The 19475-nt window shown below is 37.6% G+C and overlaps 1 protein-coding gene across 5 annotated transcripts in view; it reads right to left on the bottom strand.

The window, feature by feature from the left end:
* The window catches only part of ZFYVE9 (zinc finger FYVE-type containing 9), a 204546-nt gene that overhangs the window by 53685 nt on the left and 131386 nt on the right, over nucleotides 1–19475 (bottom strand). For all 5 annotated transcript variants that reach the window (NM_004799.4, NM_007324.5, XM_047434682.1 and 2 more), the window contains 3 exons: nucleotides 18366–18486; nucleotides 14336–14458; nucleotides 11134–11289 (listed from right to left, as the gene is read on the bottom strand). In NM_004799.4, coding sequence (NP_004790.2) covers nucleotides 11134–11289; nucleotides 14336–14458; nucleotides 18366–18486 — 400 coding nt within the window. The remainder of the gene's footprint in view (nucleotides 1–11133; nucleotides 11290–14335; nucleotides 14459–18365; nucleotides 18487–19475) is intronic.

Here is a 19475-nt window from a genome sequence, read left to right as displayed (position 1 = left end):
CCAATTTTATCAGGGCTTCTAATGAGCATAAACTAAGTTATATTATCACATTGTTGAAGTTTGTCTAAGTAAAAGCCAAAAATATTGATGCCTTCCTTGGTTAAACTGTACAGCTTTACTGTATGAATTGCTTTAGAGGTCTCAAGAACTATCACCTCAAAGGTCATAAAGAAATGTTCAAGGCCGGGTGCGGTGGCTCACACCTGTAATCCCAGCACTTTGGGAGGCCGAGGTGGGTGGATCACAAGGTCAGAGTTCGAGACCAGCCTGACCAACATGGTAAAACCCCATCTCTACTAAAAATACAAAAATTAGCCAGGCGTAGTGGTGTGCGCCTGTAATCCCAGCTACTCAGGAGGCTGAGGCAGGAGAATTGCTCGAACCTGGGAGGCGGAGGTTGCAGTGAGCCAAGATTGTGCCACTGCGCTCCAGCCTAGGCGATAGAGTGACACTGTCTCAAAAAAAAAAAAAAAAAAAAAAGAAATGTTCAGATTAGGAAGCTGCTGTCACCAAGCTTATAATTTCACTGGGTGAACAAAGTCAACTCATGAACATAATGAATTATGGTAATAAGTACAGTTATAAGACATTAAGGGAAGATGAGGATTTATGAAGATGGTACCACAGACAAGTTGTTTTTTTCTCGTTTTGTTTTTTTTTTTTTTTTGAGATGGAGTCTTGCTCTGCCACCCAGGCTGGAGTGCAGTGGTGTGATCTTGGCTCAATGCAGCATCTGCCTCCCAGGTTCAAGCAATTCCTCTCACCTCAGCCTCCTGAATAGCTACAATTACAAACATGCACCACCACACTCAGCTGATTTTTTTCGCATTTTTAGTAGAAACAGAGTTTCACCATGTTGGCCAGACTGGTCTCAAATTCCTGACTTCAAATGATCCATCTGCCTTGGCCTCCCAAAGTGCTGGGATTACAGGCGCGAGCCACCGTGCTTGGACAGGATTTATTGTTTATAATTTTTTGAGACAAATATGAAACATAGCTCTATAATTTAGGGCTTATCTAAATTCATATTAAGCAGGTTTCTCTTTTTTTTTTTTTTTTTTTTTGAGACAGAGTCTCGCTCTGTTACCCACCCTGGAACCCTGGAGTGCTGTGGTGTGATCTCAGCTCACTGCAACCTCTCCTTCCCGGGTTCAAACAATTCTCCTGCCTCAGCCTCCCGAGTAGCTGGGACTATAGGCACCCACCACCACGCCTGGCTAATTTTTGTATTTTTAGTAGAGATGTGGTTTTACCATATTGGCCAGGCTGGTCTCGAACTCCTGACCTCAAGTAATCCACCCGCCTTGGCCTCCCAAAGTGTTGGGATTACAGGTGTGAGCATGTAATTCATGTACACCATGCCTGGCCAAAGCATTTTATAATTCAAAATACTTTTGTGAATGAAACAGTAACAAACATATCAACCCTTCATTAAGGAGACATTTTCCTCAGTTTAGAATTGCAAAAGGACTTTCTGACAAGAGCTGCTCAATGATGGAACAACGAATGTGTTCACTAGCCAAGTACGAGCTTCCTTTGATACCTTTGAAAGCAATAACACCCAATGAAGCAATCTCCATCAGAGAAATTTATGCTTACTTTTCTTGAAAACTAGAGTTTATTCTTATAATGGTTATGGGTCTTTGCATCCTTGATTTTAGCGGACAGGTATCCTGACAGTAGCAGCCACAAGTGAAGGGAATACCTCCCCTTTAAACTCAGAGAAGCTTTGTGGCTGAAAGTCATGTTCACCTAAACATTATCATCTATATTTTGCATTTAAGGTAGTACATTTAGGAATTTAGGGGTAGTACTCTTGCTCCAGGATTACCCAGGTCTGGCTGCACAATTAAGCTGCTAGGCCAGATCTATGAAAACAAAACAATTGTCATATCAACGTAGCAGTATGGCATTTTGAAAAATAAATTGCAGATTTTGGAGTCCCAGAGATATGGGTTTGAATGCTAGTTTGATCATTCACTGTTGTGGGATCTGGGGCAAGTTACTTCTCTGAGCCTCAATGTCCATGTAAAATGGGAGGAGAAACTATATTAAATTCCAGATGTGTTATAAAGAATAAATGAAAGGAAATCTATAAAATGCCTAACAGGACCAGCAACACTGTATTCTCAAAAAATTATAACTATTATTATTCTAATGCAAATATACATATATTGATCAGCCAAATATATGATTTTTGGGGGGACTTTCAATGATTTTAGAGTAAGATTTAAGTAAATTTACATTTTTTCTGGCAGCCACTGCAGGATCAGGGATAGAGTGTCAGGAACTTTAGGGAGATAAGATCCCCAAATTTACCATTGCTTCTTTACCACCTCCCTAGATCCTGGAATTCTAGGATACAATATAAGAGACACTTCATACAAAATTCAACAGATAATTTGTCAAAGAGAAAAAAATTTTTTTTCATCTCTTTATCTAGCTTTGGTGAATAAGGAGGAGAATAGGGAATTAAAGAGATGCTTTCCCTCTACAATGTAGGGTGCATGACAGCATTCCTGTAACTCTATCAACAGCATGCTGTGGTTTGAATATATCCCTCAAAAAGCATGTGTTGGAAACTTGGTGCTAGGAGGCAAGGCCTCATGAGAGGTGACTGGATTAATGCTGTTATCCTGGGAGTGGGTTTGTTATGAAAGGACAAGTTTGCCCTCCCTTATACACATGCCCTCACGCACATGCACATTCTTTCTCTCTCTTCCCCACCCCATTTGCCCTTCTGCCATGGGATGATGCAGCAAAAAGGTCCTCACCAGATGCCTACCCCTCAATCTTGGACTTTGCAGCCATGAGAACTACAGGAAATACATTTCTGTTCATCACCTATTATCCAGTCTGTGGTATTCCATTATAGCAGCAAAAATAGACTAAGACACAGTGTAATGTTTATATTTCACAAAGACTGTCCTAGTAAATATAGCTTAGAGGTGAAAAATATGTTGGCTTAGTACTCAAGGTATTCACTCATTATTCCTTTGCGATTTCCCTATTAGAGCCTAGAATCTATTGGTAGTTATTTTCCACAGATACTGATTTCCTTTCTGCCTCTTCCATTTAACACTCTCTTCATCCCAATCACAGATTCTTCACGAAGTCCACTCTCATTATAAAATATATCTTTTATCCTTTAAATATTAATCACTTTAAAAAATGTAGATTACCAATAATAACTGAATTAGACTATCATGTACCATCTCATCTACAAACAAGTAACACTGCACAGGTGTAGATATTGGCAAAAATAAAACAGTGGGTATAAGAATTTGACAAAGAAAGAAAGGCTTTCATCTGAAGACCTAATCTGAAGCTCTTGAATTCATAAAGTCTGTAATGTACTAATTTATATAGGTACTTCTCAACGACTGCACTCAATGTAATGAATCCACAGAACTAATTTTATATATACCCCAATACTAGTGAAGAACCCATATAACCAAAATAGATACCAAATCTTGCTTCTAAGTGACCTGTCAAAGGTGTTAAATGCTTTATATCAATGGTTTATAAAGTAATTTTACATAACATTAATGAGGTAATCATCAGATCAGTGCTAGTAGGTAAGCAGAACGGTACCATTTCCCTGAAATTTGGGGTTTTATTTGACAAATGAAGAAACTGAAGCTTAGAGGTAGAGGTGAAGTAACTCTGAAAAGACGAGGTAAATAAGTGGCAAAGTAAAACCTAGAAAGCAGAAAGCAGATCTTTCAATCTCCTAGTCTTTGTATGTCACGCAGCCTTTCAAAAAATATACAGATACAGTAATTTACAATTTTCCATCTTTAATTTGGAATTTAAACTGTTTTTCAAATGCTTATAAGTAGCCAGCCATCTTTAAATTCAATTCAAATATAACTTAAATATCTATGTGTCAATAGCTTCCTTTTGTTTCAAAGTATATTTATTAATCCTCACATCAACTCAAGTGGAACCATTTCCAAGCAAATGGTTCATTCATTTCAAGAAATACTAATATTTCTTTTTCTTTTTTTTTTTTTTTTTTTTTGAGACAGAGTCTCGCTCTGTCACCCAGGCTGGAGTACAGTGGCGTGATCCCAGCTCACTGAAACCTCCGCCTCCCGGGTTCAATTGATTCTCCCGCCTGAGCTTCCCAAGTAGTTGGGACTACAGGCGCTCACCACCATGCCTAGCTAATTTTTGTATTTTTAGCAGAGACAGGGTTTAGCCATTGTTGGCCAAGCTGGTCTCAAACTCACGACCTCAAGTGATCTGCCTGCCTGCCTCGGCTTCCCAAAGTGTTGGGATTACAGGCGTGACCCACCGCACCCGGCCAATAAATAAATTTCTAAGTGGTAATATGACTAAAACTCAAGCCATCAAAAGAATTTAGAAAGCTTCTTGGAGTTCTTTGTAATGCAGCAAACTGCAGTTATGCATGACTACTTCATAAAAGGTCATGTCCTCAGTTTAGTGTATCTCTGACATTGATCATGAAAGCTCAAGAGGAGCCAGGTCAGGTGACTCATGCCTGTAATCCCAGCCCCTTGGGAGGCTGAGGAGGAAGGATCACTTGGGCCCAAGGAGATCAAGGCTGCAGTGAGTGTGCTATGATGGCACCACTGCTACACAGCCTGGGTGACAGAGCAAGACTTCTATCTCTTAAACAAACAGCTCAAGAGACACTATAGTACTTCTTATGGTTCGAAACATGAGATTTACGGACAACATAGGTGAATTTAAACCTGGGTTCAGCCACTTATCACCTAACTGTGTGATCTTAAGTTACTTAGGCCTTTGGTGTCTTTCATTTTCCTCATGTGTAAATAGAAACAGTAACAGTATGAATCTGAGTTGTACTTAAGAAGAAATAAAATAGTGTACATAAGGCAATGAATATACTGCTTAGCATATATTAAGTGTTCAAAAAATGTTAGGTATTTTGTCTTAAATCACTTCTTCATAAATAGTTCCATATAACTTTCTCATCAGTTGAAAAGTTACTTTGCAAAACTACAATACCATAATTCTAATAAATTTACCAAAAGGTTCAGAATTTGAAAAATAAAATAAAAACATGAACCATGACATATTATTATTATTTTTAAAGATAGGGTCTCACTGTGTCACTCAAGCTGTAATGCAGTGGTGCACTCATAGCTCACTACGGCCTCAAAAACTCCTGGGCTCAAGGACTCCTCCCACCTCAGCCTCCCAAGTAGCTGGGATTACAGGGATGTGCCATTAGGCCTAGTTAATTTTTTTTTTTTTTTTTTTGGTACAGATAGGGTCTCATTATGTTGACCAGGCTAGTCTCAAAGTCCTGGCCTCAAGCAATCCTCCTGCCTCAGCTTCCCAAAGAGAGAGCAAGAAGGGAATGAACCCCCTCCTTTTATAACAGCACTAATCCCATCCATGAGGGTGAAGCCCTCATGGCCTAATCACCTCTTAAAGGTCCCACCTCCTAATATTGTTCTAATGGCAATTAAAGTTCAACATGAGTTTCAGAGTGGACAAACATTGAAACCATAACAACACCAAACACTTTCTTAATAAAAGATTAGACTGCATGGTGGCTCACACCTATAATCCCAGCATTTTGGGTGGCCCAGGCGGGTGGATCACCTGAGGTTGGGAGTTCAAGACCAGCCTGGCTAACATGGTGAAACCTCGTCTCTACTAAAAACACAAAAATTATTCCAAGTGTGGTGGCAGGTGCCTGTAGTCCCAGTTACTTGGGAGCTACTTGGGAGCTAATTGGGAGGCTGAGGCAGGAGAATCACTTGAACCCGGGAGGCAGAGGTTGCAGGGTGCCAAGATCGCAACACTGCACTCCGGCCCGGGCGACACAGCGAGACTCTGCCTCAAAATAAATAAATTAATTAAATTAAAAATAAAAGATTAAGGGAGTTCAGAAGAGACTACTTCTGTCTGGGAGGGTCATCAAGAAAGAATTCATGGAGAAAGTGGTCTTTAAGATTTAGGACAACTGATAGGATTGAGACAGTTGGGGTGTGGGGAAATAGCACGGTTGGGAGTAGCATAATCATGGGTAATGAAATGGAAAATCATCAGAATATACACAAAATGAACCAATAAATGTTTTGTTTGGCTACAATGGAAGTATGGAGAGATGACTAGCAGGAGATGAGACTAAAAATATAGGAACAGATCATGCAGAATACTGAATGTTGGAGCACAGTTTATTCTAAAGGCAATACAAAGCCAAAGTAGCTTTTGAGTAAGATAGGGAAACAACCAGAGATTAACTCCAGAAATAACAATCTGGTAGATACAAGTCCAATTTCATTCAAGTCTATGTTCTGAATAGATTGTTTGCAAAAAAACAGGTACAAAATATGGAGGAATGAATAGGAGACAGGGAGAAACAATATATAGTCTACAACCTCCGATGGCACTGTCATAACCAGAAGGCATTCTGAAACTCTCAGAACATAATTTCTCACAAATTATAATGTTTCCCTCCACTGCAGAATGCAAAAACTGTGTATGACAAAAAAGTGTGTGTGTATATATATGTGAAACACAGATACACACACATATATAGATATACAACACACATATGGTTATTAAATACCTGTAGTTTAGATTTTAAAATTCACAGGAAGTTATAAAAAAGTTCATTCAATAGCTCCTAAGGCTTTTCTGTGATTTAGGGCAGAATAACCCTAAGCTAGTAATACAGTATTCAAGGTTTCACACTCAGGAGAAATTTAAGATACAATTTGTCAATTTCACTCAATGTGCTACACAGAAGAGAAAAATAATAAATTGCGATACGTTTTTTTTTTTTTTTGAGACAGAGTCTCATTCTTGTTGCCCAAGCTGGAGTGCAATGGCACGATCTTGGCTCACTGCAACCTCTGCCTCCAGGGTTCAAGCAATTCTCCTGCCTCAGCCTCCCAAGTAGCTGGGATGACAGGCGCCCACCATCACACCCGGCTAATTTTTTGTATTTTTAGTAGAGATGGGGTTTCACCATGTTGGCCAGGATGGTCTTGAACTCCTGAGCTAAGGTGATCCACCCGGCTTGGCCTGCCAAAGTGCTGGGATTACAGGCATGAGCCACCGTGCCCAGCCTGCTATCATTTTAGAACAGTAGCCTCCAACCTTTTTGGCACCAGGGATGGGTTTTGTGGAAGACAATTTTTCCACGGACTGTGGGGAAGGGGAGACGGTTTCAGGATGATTCAAGCGCATTAAATTTATTGTGCACCTTATTTCTATTATTACATTGTAATATGTCATGAAATAATTATACAACTCACCATAATGTAGAATCAGTGGGATCCCTGAGCTTGTTTTCCTGCAACTAGACTGTCCCATCTGGGGGTGATGGGAGACAGTGACAGATTATCAGGCATTAGATTCTCATAAGGAGCACACAACCTAGATCCCTCACACGCGCAGTTCACAACAGGGTTCGCACTTCTATGAGAATCTAATACCGCTGCTGATCTGAGAGGAGGCAGAGCTCAGGCGCTAACGTGAGCAATGGGGAGCAGCTGTAAATACAGATGAAGCTTTACTTGCTTGCCTGCCCCTCACCTCTGCTGTGTGGCCTGGTTCCTAACAGGCCACGGACCAATACCAGTCCATGGCCTGTGGGTTGGGGACCCCGTTTTAGAACACCCAAAATATGCTTTTACTTATTAAAAAATTTATAGTGAAATATATCAAGCTATTACCCTGATTATCTAAAAATAAGGTTCTTAATAAATATGTATAGTATATAGATAATATATCTGTGTTTTTAAGAACTGATATATTATTAATGGTACACAGAGGCAACTGACATAATGTAAACAATACTGATCTGGGAGCTACAGTCCCAATTCTGCCACCAACTTGGTCTGTGATTTAGGTACGCCATTAACACTTCTAGGTCTGATTTTCCTTATCTAAAAAATGAAGAGTTTGTATTAAATTATCTAAAATGCCTTCTAGTCCCAATATTTGATGAGTTGTGAAATGATTCCTATTCAAGGAAAAACTCTTTCGTCTCACTTATGCTTTTGAAATGTTATTTCCTTAGATATACATATATATGTTCGTGTCCCTATCCTACATTATAGAAAATATTTTTAGTTGGCTTAGATGTATTATAGTCTGACCTTAGACTATCATTAGTATCTTGTAATCAGTTCCAAGTATTTTTGTTGTTTCAAAATTTTTGCAATAGTTCAAAATGGACTGAACTGACATATAAGTATCCTTTTTAAAAAAATAACCATTGCTGGGCGCGGTGGCTCACGCCTGTAATCCCAGCACTTTCGGAGGCCGAGGCGGGCGGATCACGAAGTCAGGAAATCAAGATCAGCCTGGCTAACACGGTGAAACCCCGTCTCTACTAAAAATACAAAAAATTAGCCAGGCGTGGTGGCGGGCGCCTGTAGTCCCAGCTACTTGGGAGGCTGGGGCAGGAGAATGGCGTGAACCTGGGAGGTGGAGCTTGCAGTGAGCTGAGATAGCGCCACTGCACTCCAGGCTGGGTGACAGAGCGAGACTCCATCTCAAAAAAAAAAAAAATTTATGCTAAACATATTTTAATAATTCATGCAATAATTCACATCCTCTCCTTGAGAGGATGTCTATCTCTCAGGATTCCATCTACAGCCGTAGTCTCTTCACACAGGCCTATCCCATTCACAACGATACTCTCAACTATCACAGGAAAGCTGTGTCTCCAAAATCTGTATTTTAACTCAGATCTATCTTCTGGGATCCATACCCATATAATCATCTGCCATTTTCATGTTTCATCTGATGTCATTATTTCAAATTCAGCACACTGAACAAAGAATTCCCTTACCTCTGCCAAATCTGTTATTCATCAAGATGGTGAATAGAAGAAGACCAACATACACTTAGGTGCTCAAGCGAGGAATCTGAGGCCAACCTTGACTTGTCCCCTCTAACCCCCTATATCCAGTTAGTTACCAAATCCTACTGAATTGAAGCACCACATCTTTCGTATCTCTCCAATACTCTTCTTTATTTCCACTGCAATTATTTAATTTAAATCCTGATAATTTCTTAATTTCTTGCTGGATTCCTGCAATATCTTTTTAAAAAATAAATTTTACTGAGGTATAATCTATATATTATAAAAATGATAGATTTTAAGTGTACATTTCAATGAGTTTTGGCAAACACCCACATAACCACTATCCTAATCCAGATATAGACCTCTCATCTCAGAAAGTTTTCTGGGACTCTCTGTAGTCAGTTCTAGCACCTGCACCCCCACCTCACTTTAGGCAAACACTGACCTAATTTCTATCACCAAAGATTAATTTTGCCTGTTTTAGAAAACCATATAAATGGAATCATCCAATATGTACTTTTTTGTGCCTGGCTTTTGCTCAGCATAATGTCTGTGAGATTCATGCATGTTGTTGTGTACATCAGCAGTTAGTTCATTTTTACTGTTGAGCAGTATTCTAGTGTATGAATATACATTTGCTTATCCTGAAATTGCTTCTTAACTGCCACCAGACTCACGGACTTTGATCCATTTTTCACACTGCTTCCAGAGTCATCTTTCTAAAATGCAAATCTGATTATGTCACTCATCATCTCAAATACTTTCAATGGTTCTTCATTGCCTACAGAATAAAGCATGGGCTCCTAAATAAGACATTCATGAACCTCCCATACCCTAGTCTCTAACACACTCTCAAAACCCACATGAATCTACAATTACTTGAACCTCCAATGCCATTTTTCTAGAGTGTTTAAAAGTGAATACATTCAGATTGAGGAGAAAAGTGAAAGTTCCCAGTTATTTCCAGGACTAAATTCAGCTCCAGGGTATTATGTGGCCTGGAGGACCTGGATGATTTCAGATTTAACCCTATACATTTTGGAACAGACAGGGTAAACATTAAAAGGTACTTCACAGGTATCATGTGGTCAGTTTCCAATGTATCACCTTGCCCTTATGTAATGCTACACCTAAATTATTGTAGAGACTAATGAAGACATAAAGGCACAATCTTTTACGCATAATCTACATCACATTAAAAATACAATTATATATCCTGCTTCTGTAATTATTTAAAGAGCATTTTCCATGTTACTACATTCTTTTCATAAATATTGTTTTAATGGCCAAAAAAAGTTCTCAAAAAGATCCTCACATCTAATAAGTATAACACAGTTAAACTTTCCACCTATAGCTAAGGCATTCAGGTTGCTTCTGAATTTTTGTGTTAAATTTAGGTAATGTTGCAATAAACCCTTTCATTCACAGAAGTGCATTTTATATTCTGGATACTGTCTTTGGCACAGAATCCCACAATGAAAATTATTGCATTAAGAAAGTCTGAATAATTTATTGTTTTAATATATGTATGAAATATTATCAAATAATACATGAAAATAGTTTTAATACCCCGGTCACCCTCACACCCTCTCCAGGCCTTCTTCCTCAAAGATAAACCCTATTTATCAAATACAGATATTATGTACTGACTTCCTGTTACAATAAACGAGAATAGTTCAATTACACCGTTTTTCTACCTCATTTGTTAAATCAAAGGGAGGCTGACTTTGTAATGTCAAATAACACAATGTCATAATAAATAACTATAATGTCAAATAATGTGTTTCTTTTCTCTCAATCTTAGTTTCTTTTTATGTTAATATCCTTAGTCTTTCCCAGCTTCTAACCTCTATGCTTTTACTTTTAAGTTGTTACAGTTAATATTTACAATTTATTTTGAAGCCATAGTCATGTATGCTAATTGTTTTTGAAATTTGAATATTCATTAGCATTTACACTATGATTAAATAAATATTGTTAACCAAAGAAACAAGAAGTAAGTTACAAATATGCTTCCTTCTACCAGGTACCAATATCCTGACCCCAGGCCACTAAAAAGAAAATATTCTTACATTTAGGTCACCAGATTCTCTTACAGCTTTGATTCCAGCCTCTGTAAAATAAAAACTATACCAGGTACAATACTAAAATTTATAATTTCTTCAAACCATGGAAAGCTTCAACTTGCCACTAATATCAAAGTCCCCTGCCATGCTTAAGTCCAAAGTTAAGACTATTATTTTGTATTTGAATTCAAAATTTTTTTGTCATCTACAAAGGGAGCAGACTAAGTCATAAAGCATTCCTACCTGCCAGAGCATCCCGATAAAGCTGCACAAAGTGATTAAAGATATCCTTTGGCAAACACTTTTCATCCGGTAAACACTGTAGAAGAATGACTATCTCAGACTGACCCACTGCATGCATTCCCTTGGTTGTGAAACACCAGCACTTCCTGTTCACATCTACAGATGGAATAAAAACACAAAAATAAAGACATTCCTATCAATCCTTACTCTTAAAAAAAGATGCACAGAAATCTGTGTTACAATACAGCAAAGATTAAAATAGATCACACTGAGTCTGTATAATTCAACTGTGAACTGTCACTGCATTGAGCCAAAAACCTATTGTAGAAAATAAAACATGCCAATGCCTCTGGCTCTTTTCTAAACACTTGGAAAAATGATTGAGGACGGCCGAGGTGGCTCACGCCTGTAATCCCAGCACTTTGGGAGGCCGAGGCGGGTGGATCATGAGGTCAGGAGATCAAGACCATCCTGGCTAACACGGTGAAACCCCGTCTCTACTAAAAATACAAAAAAATTAGCTGGGTGCAGTGGCGGGCGCCTGTAGTCCCAGCTACTCGGGAGGCTGAGGCAGGAGAATGGCGTGAACCCGGGAGGTGGAGCTTGCAGTGAGCCGAGATCGAGCCACTGCACTCCAGCCTAGGCGAAAGAGTGAGACTCCGTCTCAAAAAAAAAAAAAAAGAAAAGAAAAGAAAAGAAAAATGATTGAAATGGAAGTAAAAGAAATAATAATAAAACGCACTTAAAACTTTTAACTCCTATTAAAAGAAGCAACATTCTATTAATACTAAAATAAAACCAAACTATGTATTGTAAGCCAAACGTGATTGAAGAACATAGTCCTCCACCTTTATATTTTAAAAAATCACATCATCGAAGGAAGTAATTACCAATGTAAGGCTAGAAGTAATTACAACAAAAGCCAATAATATAGCTTTATCTTCAGGTTGTGACCTAAAGGAAATATATTTTTATGTATATTTATTAAATTTAATATATGACCAAGAGATTCCAGCTATTTTAACTATAGTCCTTTCCAGGAAAAAATTCTAGATAATCAGCAACATGACTTTACTTGGCTTCATGCTGTAAAAATTAGTGAAAAGGATGGCTTTTCTGAACTACTTAGTTCCACTCCTTCACTTTAAGGCTATATGGAGAGTATGAACAGCAGAAACCATATGTAGTCAAAAACAATGTTTAATCCTTGACACTTTTACTCTTCATACCCCAACACAATGGGATCCCCAAAGGAACTGAAAAAGGACTCAAATAAAATTATGAATACCACCATGTAAATCAAAACAAATGTTAATCAAAAAAACAAAGACATCTTTATTTCACTTTGGGAATCCTTGCTTTATGTACCTAAATAGGACATTCCTCATGATGGTATATACTTCAAGAATCTAGGTTAGCTAATTTTTTTTTTTTTTTTAAACAGGGTCTCACTCTGTCATTCAGGCTGGAGTGCAGTGTCATGATCTCGGCTCACTGCAACCTCCGTCTCCTGGGCTCAAGAACTCCTCCCACCTCAGCCTCGAGAGTAGCTGGGACTACAGGAGCATGTCACCATGCCCAATTTTTTTTTTTTTTTTTTTTGGTAGGGATGAGGTTTCACCATGTTGCCCAGGCTAGTCTCGAACTCCTGGGCTCAAGTGATTCATCTGCCTTGGCCTCCCAAAGCACTGGGACTACAGGTGTGCACCATGGTGCCTGGTCTTAGGTTAGCTAATTTCTAAGCATAATTTATAAACTAGATATGGCAAATTGAAATTTCAAGCAAATTCATTTTAAATCTGATCCTAGAAGGTAGCAAGCATTAATAACTGGCCAAACATACAAGAGTGTGATTAGCAAGTAAGCCAGAAACCCACATTTCATCAATGTAGAACTTCTAAGGAAGTAGTATATGTTTCTGGTTTCCAAAATCAACTTAAGTACACATGGAGAACTGCAGGATGGTTCCCCAGAGGTTCTGTCCTTTAAAATTGCCTATTAACACTCATTCAGAATAAATGCATTCTCTAAATAATTCTCAAAATTACTAGCTGGCGCAGTGGCTCACATCTGTAATCCCAGCACTTTGGGAGACCAAGGCAGGCAGATCACTCGAGTTCAGGAGTTCAAGAACAACCTGGGCAACATGGTGAGACTCCTGTCTCTACAAAAAAATACAAAAAAAATTAGCCAGGTATGGTGGTGTGCACCTGTAGTCTCAGCTACTTGGGAGGCTGACGTGGGAGAACTGCTTGAGCTCAGGAGGCAGAGGTTGCAATGAACAGAGATCATGCCACTGCAATCCAGCCTGGGTGACAGAGTGAGACTCTGTCTCAAAAAATTCTCAAATACTGTCGTCTTTCTCATCCTGATGCCCATGATGCTAGCACCAACAATTGAGAAGTTTCTTCTGAATCTCAATTTATGATGTATTGAAGCTTTACTGTGTGTTAGTTAACACTTTTCCTAAATAAAGTTTTGCACCATAATTGAGGTTTCTGGGATTAAAACACAGCATGTAAATTATTTGAGTAGCCTGTATAATTTATCTACCACCAGTTATTCTGGTGGTAAGTTGTGATTTAACATACTCATCTCAAGAAGAACTTAACTCAGATAAGTTCAAGATTTGTTTGGCTTTCATCCATGGAGAATTCACCTACCTCACCCCTGTAACTAAATGTGAGAGTTTCGGTTAGTTCCACAGCTGTCCTCTGGGATATATCATTTTATAAAAACCAACTTTTTCAGAACTCAGTGTTCAGTAAGATGTGGCTAGGCCAGGCGCGGTGGCTCATGCCTGTAATCCCAGCACTTAGGGAGGCTGAGGCGGGCGGATCACCAGGTCAGGAGATCAAGACCATCCTGGCTAACACAGTGAAACCCTGTCTCTACTAAAAAAAAAACAAATACGAAAAATTAGCCGGGCGTGGTGGCGGGCACCTGTTGTCCCAGCTGCTCAGGCAGGAGGCTGAGGCAGGAGAATGGCGTGAACCCGGGAGGTGGAGCTTGCAGTGAGCCGAGATGGTGCCACTGCACTCCAGCCTGGGTGACACAGCGAGATTCTGTCTCAAAAAAAAAAAAAGAAAAAAAAAAAGATGTGGCTCTATATAAAAATACTTGTGTGTAATAAATCTGAAAGTTTTATGTACTATGAGTCAGTAAAACATCTGATTTTAATTTTTAAAAATTTATAACTTACAATTTACAATTTTAACCATTGACAACAAATTTGCATTTAAAACAAATACAAGTGGGTCAGGGCCACCATCCTCCAACTGCTGCATTACTGAAATCTGTGATGGTTTCTCTTCCACAGCATAGTCTGAAAGGGGAGAAAACAATGTAATAGATTGGTTAAAGGAACAAATCAAGAAAGAGATCAGATGGAGAAATGAGCTAATTATTCACAGAAAAGAGACATGCATTTGATTTATCAATAGGTGCATACAGAGCATGGTTTGTATCTGCTGGCTCAGTATCAAATTAATAGTGCCCTCTTTTACTCTCAAAAGTGACCCAGTCCACCTTAGATGATAATGTGGTTATCCTGTGTATAGACCTCTCCCCACAGTGGTTTGTGCCACAATCTAAAGACTACCTTTCTATTTAATAAAAATTTTCCAACTATTATAACAAGAATTTCACATAATAAATGTTCAAGACCAGCATTTAAAATAACTCATGATATACAAGAAAGTGATAATATACTAGTTACCTCTGGAAAGGATATCAAATAGTTGGGGTAGAAGAGAGCCCTACCTTTTACTCTATGACCTTTTGTACTGTTTGACATTTTTGACAATTAAAAACTTAAACTTTAAAAAATGAACCCAGAAAATAAAAGTATTGTGTGTGACTGGCTTCATAAAACAATTCCTTTAAGTATAATTTAAGAGTTTAGTACATATGTCACTAAAATCATCAGTAAATCACACATAAGATTCTGAACATGAACAAGTTAATACTGAATGTAACTCTTCTCATTTAATCTCTGGAAGCACAGTATGTGCTTCAGCATCTCATTTTGAATGACAGTGGTCCTTTCAGCTTGAAGTCAAATCATGCGTAATAATCACTGTAGAACCTAGAGATATGGGAAAGGAACTGAAAACCTAAAAGTTGAATGTTGCTTGGTTGGTCTTATATAAAATGCATATTTGAGGGACAGTCAGGTAGAACAAAGTAACATCATTTCCCATTTTCTAATGGAAATTTTAAAATGGATTTTTTGGATACAATGGGAAATATCTACTCCATTATTAAAAATATTTATTGGAAAGAGAAATCCTGAGTTTAAAATTTTTTAAGTAAAGTCATCCCACTGGAATAAAAAATTACAAAATTTTGATGAAGAGACTGTAATATAGTTTAAGTAATATAGATAATTCACTGTTCTTTCTTGGTAGGAGAAGTTTTGACAATTAGATTTAACGGACATAACTTTTTATGAAAATGGAATCCAACAATCTGACTCTTTTTAACAACAGAGTAGGCCAATTTAGTTCCCTGTTAATCTAAGATTTATTAAAATAAAAATCTGAACCCTAAGCAGCAATTTTACTAACAATAGATATTTTTACAATAGATAATTTTACTAACAATAGGTATTTTACTAACAATAGAATCCAACAATCTGACTCTTTTTAACAACAGAGTAGGCCAATTTAGTTCCTTATTAATCTAAGATTTATTAAAATAAAAATCTGAACCCTAAGCAGCAATTTTACTAACAGTAGATATTTTTACAGGGTCCTGGTAAAGAAGCAAAAGCATTATGCAGTCAAAAGAATGCTTAACTGTATGTGAAAGTTCACTGCTGAACTATCTGGGACATAGCTGCATTTGAGAGTACAATATAGACAGCATTTGCTGAGAGCCTACTACAGGCCTAGCACCATGCAAGGAGCAGTAAATGCAAGTATAAAATAAGATGAAGAATTTCATAGTCTAAGTGAAAGAATACGATCTGAAAATATAATATCTAAATTGCAATGAGAAAAAGTGTTAATGTAGCCAACAGTCTATAGGAACCACTATTAGAACAGAGATAATGAAGCAAATCACTATTTTCTAAGCAGCCCAGGTAAGGATTCAGAGAAGAATTAACCATTAAGCTGGATTTTAAAAGGTTGAGGAGTTCTTCAGGAAGTCTACAGTAGAGAGGGGTATTCTAGGCAGAAGAAAGGAAGAAATGGAAAATATTAATTACATGCCTACTTTATGCCAGATACTTTCTTGGTATGTACTTACAGGTATGATATCTAACTTAATAACCACAATGACTTTTAAGTAGGTGTAGTTATATAATTGTTTTAAATAAAACAGACTAGGAAACAAATTCAGAGAGGATGAATGACTTGCCAACTGGATCACACAGCTAGAATGGAACGGTACTGGCATTAAAAGTCAGGTTTGTTCAATTCTGAAGTCCATTCTTTCCCATTATTCCACAGCACAAGAAAAAGTACAGAAGAATGAAAAGTAAATATTCAAAAAATAGCAAATAATCTGCAGTATACATGTAAGGTGCTGGGGAATAGCTGGAAATAAAGTTGATAATAAATGGCTAGAAAGACAGGCTGAGATAAGGTTATAAGAAACATTGTCAGACCGGGCATGGTAGCTCACGCCTGTAATCCCAGCACTTTGGGAGGCCGAGGTGGGCAAATCACCAGGTCAAGAGTTCAAGACCAGCCTGGTCAACATAGTGAAACCCTGTCTCTACTAAAAATACAACAATTAGCCGGGCATGGTGGCATGCACCTGTAGTCCCAGCTACTCAGGAGACTGAGGCAGGAGAACTGCTTGAACCCGGGAGGCGGAGGTTGTGGTGAGCTGAGGCTGTACCACTGCACTCCAGCCTGGCGACAGAGTGAGACTCCATCTCAAAAAAAAAAAAAAAAAAAAAAATTGCTTGCTAAGGTAAGTAATTTACACTAAAGACATTGGGAATCCATTAAATATTTCTAAGTAAAAGCAATATAAGATAATATCTATGTTTAAAAACATAACTGGCAACAGTGTGGAAGACAAAATGAAGGAAAGAAAGACTGAAGGCAAGGAGACCAGTTAAAAGCCTAGGACAAAGTTCAGGAGAGGTTAATTAATAAGCCACCTTCTAAAAATGTAGTAATTGTATACTGATCCATATATGTCAGCAATAAAATTTCACACTAATCATCAGAGAAATGCAAATCAAAACCACAATGAGATATCAACTCACACCAGTCAGAATGGCTATTATTAAAAAGTCAAAAAACCATGGATGCTGGTGAGGCTGTGGAGAAAAGGGGACATGTATACACTGTTGATAGAAATGTAAATTAGTTCAGCCACTGTGGAAAGCAGTTTGGAGATTTCTCAAAGAACTTAAAGGAGAACTACCATTCAGCCCAGCAATCCCATTACTGGGTGTATATCCAAAAGAAAATAAATTGTTCTACCAAAAAGACACATGTACTTGAATGTTCACCGCAGCACTATTCACAATAACAAAGACATAGAATCAACCTAACTGCCCATCAGTGGCTGACTGGATAAAGAGACCCTGTCTCAAAACAAAAAACAAAAACAAAAACAAAAAAAAATTACCCATTGGGTACTATGCTCACTACCTGGGTGACAGGATCAATCATAACCCAAACCTCAGCATTATCCACTATATCCATGTACCAGATTGGCACATATACCCTTTGAATCTAAAATAAAAGTTAAAATTATAAAAATAAAATTTCACATAATATTAAGCATTCTTTTGATTAGATAATAATTTTACTTCTTATCAAGATCCCTAAAAATATTTTTAACAGTAAAACTGCCATTTAAATTCAGTGCTCTTCACACTTACTATACGTTCTTTCTGAATGTATATTATACCTCAAAATGAAAAGCTAAATAAATGACTGTATCAGAGTGGGTTCATCCTAAACCACAAGCAATCCTTCAGAATATTATGTGCTTTGAAATATTTTTAAAAACTGCTAATAAACTACATTTACATTATAAGTAATATTATATCCATTCAAAAACTGAAAATGACATTATAATATAAAAACATAAGCATCTACTCTAAAATAATAACAGCAACAACCATTTTCATAGTTTTGGGGGAGTTTGTTTTGTTGGATAAGAGAAAGGTGAATGTCACTCAAATTCTGTCTCTCTACCTTAATTAGAAGGTAACATTTGGCAGATAGAACTATCACTGTTTAAATATGTAGTCCACTTACCTCCTTTTACACCAGTGGAGATGAGAATGGGAGGAAGGCCATCTTCAGGAATAAGATTCATTGCACTTCCAACAGGACTTCCAACCTGAGTTATACTCCCAGAGAATAGACAAATATCCGTCTAGGAAAAGCAAATCAACAAAGTGAGCACTACAGAGAATTCAAGACTTTGGCAGGACATAATTAAAAATACAAATGGGAACTTAAGTGAAAATCTGAAATTCATACTTTTTGAAAGGTAGCACAAAATATTCATTAACCCATGGATTAAAAAAAACAAAAAAACAAATCAGGCTTATACTATGAAAATGTTTTCAAATGTGTAAGTTTCTCCTTTTGGTATCATCAAATCATGGTAATGACAGAAGAGGCCTTAAAACCTGCATTAAAGCTTCCTTTACCCAGGTTTCTTTTGCCATAAGAGAAAAATATTTTTAAAAAACTGTAGTGGCAAAAGAAACAAAACTTCAATATTATTTCATAATTTCTTAATCTTTAATACCTTGGGAACTACTTAAGGTCTAATTTATATTGCTTTTAAAAATTAACTTTGAAAACAGTGGTGATAGTTGCAAAACAATGTGAATGTACTTGATGCCAATGAATTCACTTAAAAATTGTTAAAATTGTAAATCATTTGTTATATATGTTAATATTTTTCCACAATAAAAAAGGGAAAAAAATCAACTTTGATAAAATGTCATCATTTTTCATTTACTATGTAATAAAATAAATCTTGAAGTTCATTTTTTTTTTTTTTTTTTTTGAGAAGGAGTCTCACTCTATCGCCCAGGCTGGAGTGCAATGGCATCATCTACAACCTCTGCTTCCCAGGTTCAAGCAATTCTCCTGCCTCAGCCTCCCGAGTAGCTGGGATTACAGGTGCGTGCCACCACGCCTGGCTAATTTTTGTATTTTTAGTAGAGATGGGGTTTCACCTGTTAGCCAGGATGGTCTCAATCTCCTGACCTTGTGATCCGCCAACCTCGGCCTCCCAAAGTGCTAGGATTACAGGTGTGAGCCACTGCACCCGGCCTGAAGTTTGTTTTTCTTTGCATTACTAGGCAGATCACATTAGCTATATTTAATGAAGTATAAGGTTGCAAAACA

This window comes from Homo sapiens, chromosome 1, assembly GCF_000001405.40.
Source record: "Homo sapiens chromosome 1, GRCh38.p14 Primary Assembly".
NCBI lineage: Eukaryota > Metazoa > Chordata > Mammalia > Primates > Hominidae > Homo > Homo sapiens.
The sequence above is the reverse complement of the archived record's forward strand: the minus strand, read 5'-3'. Positions and strand labels throughout refer to the sequence as shown.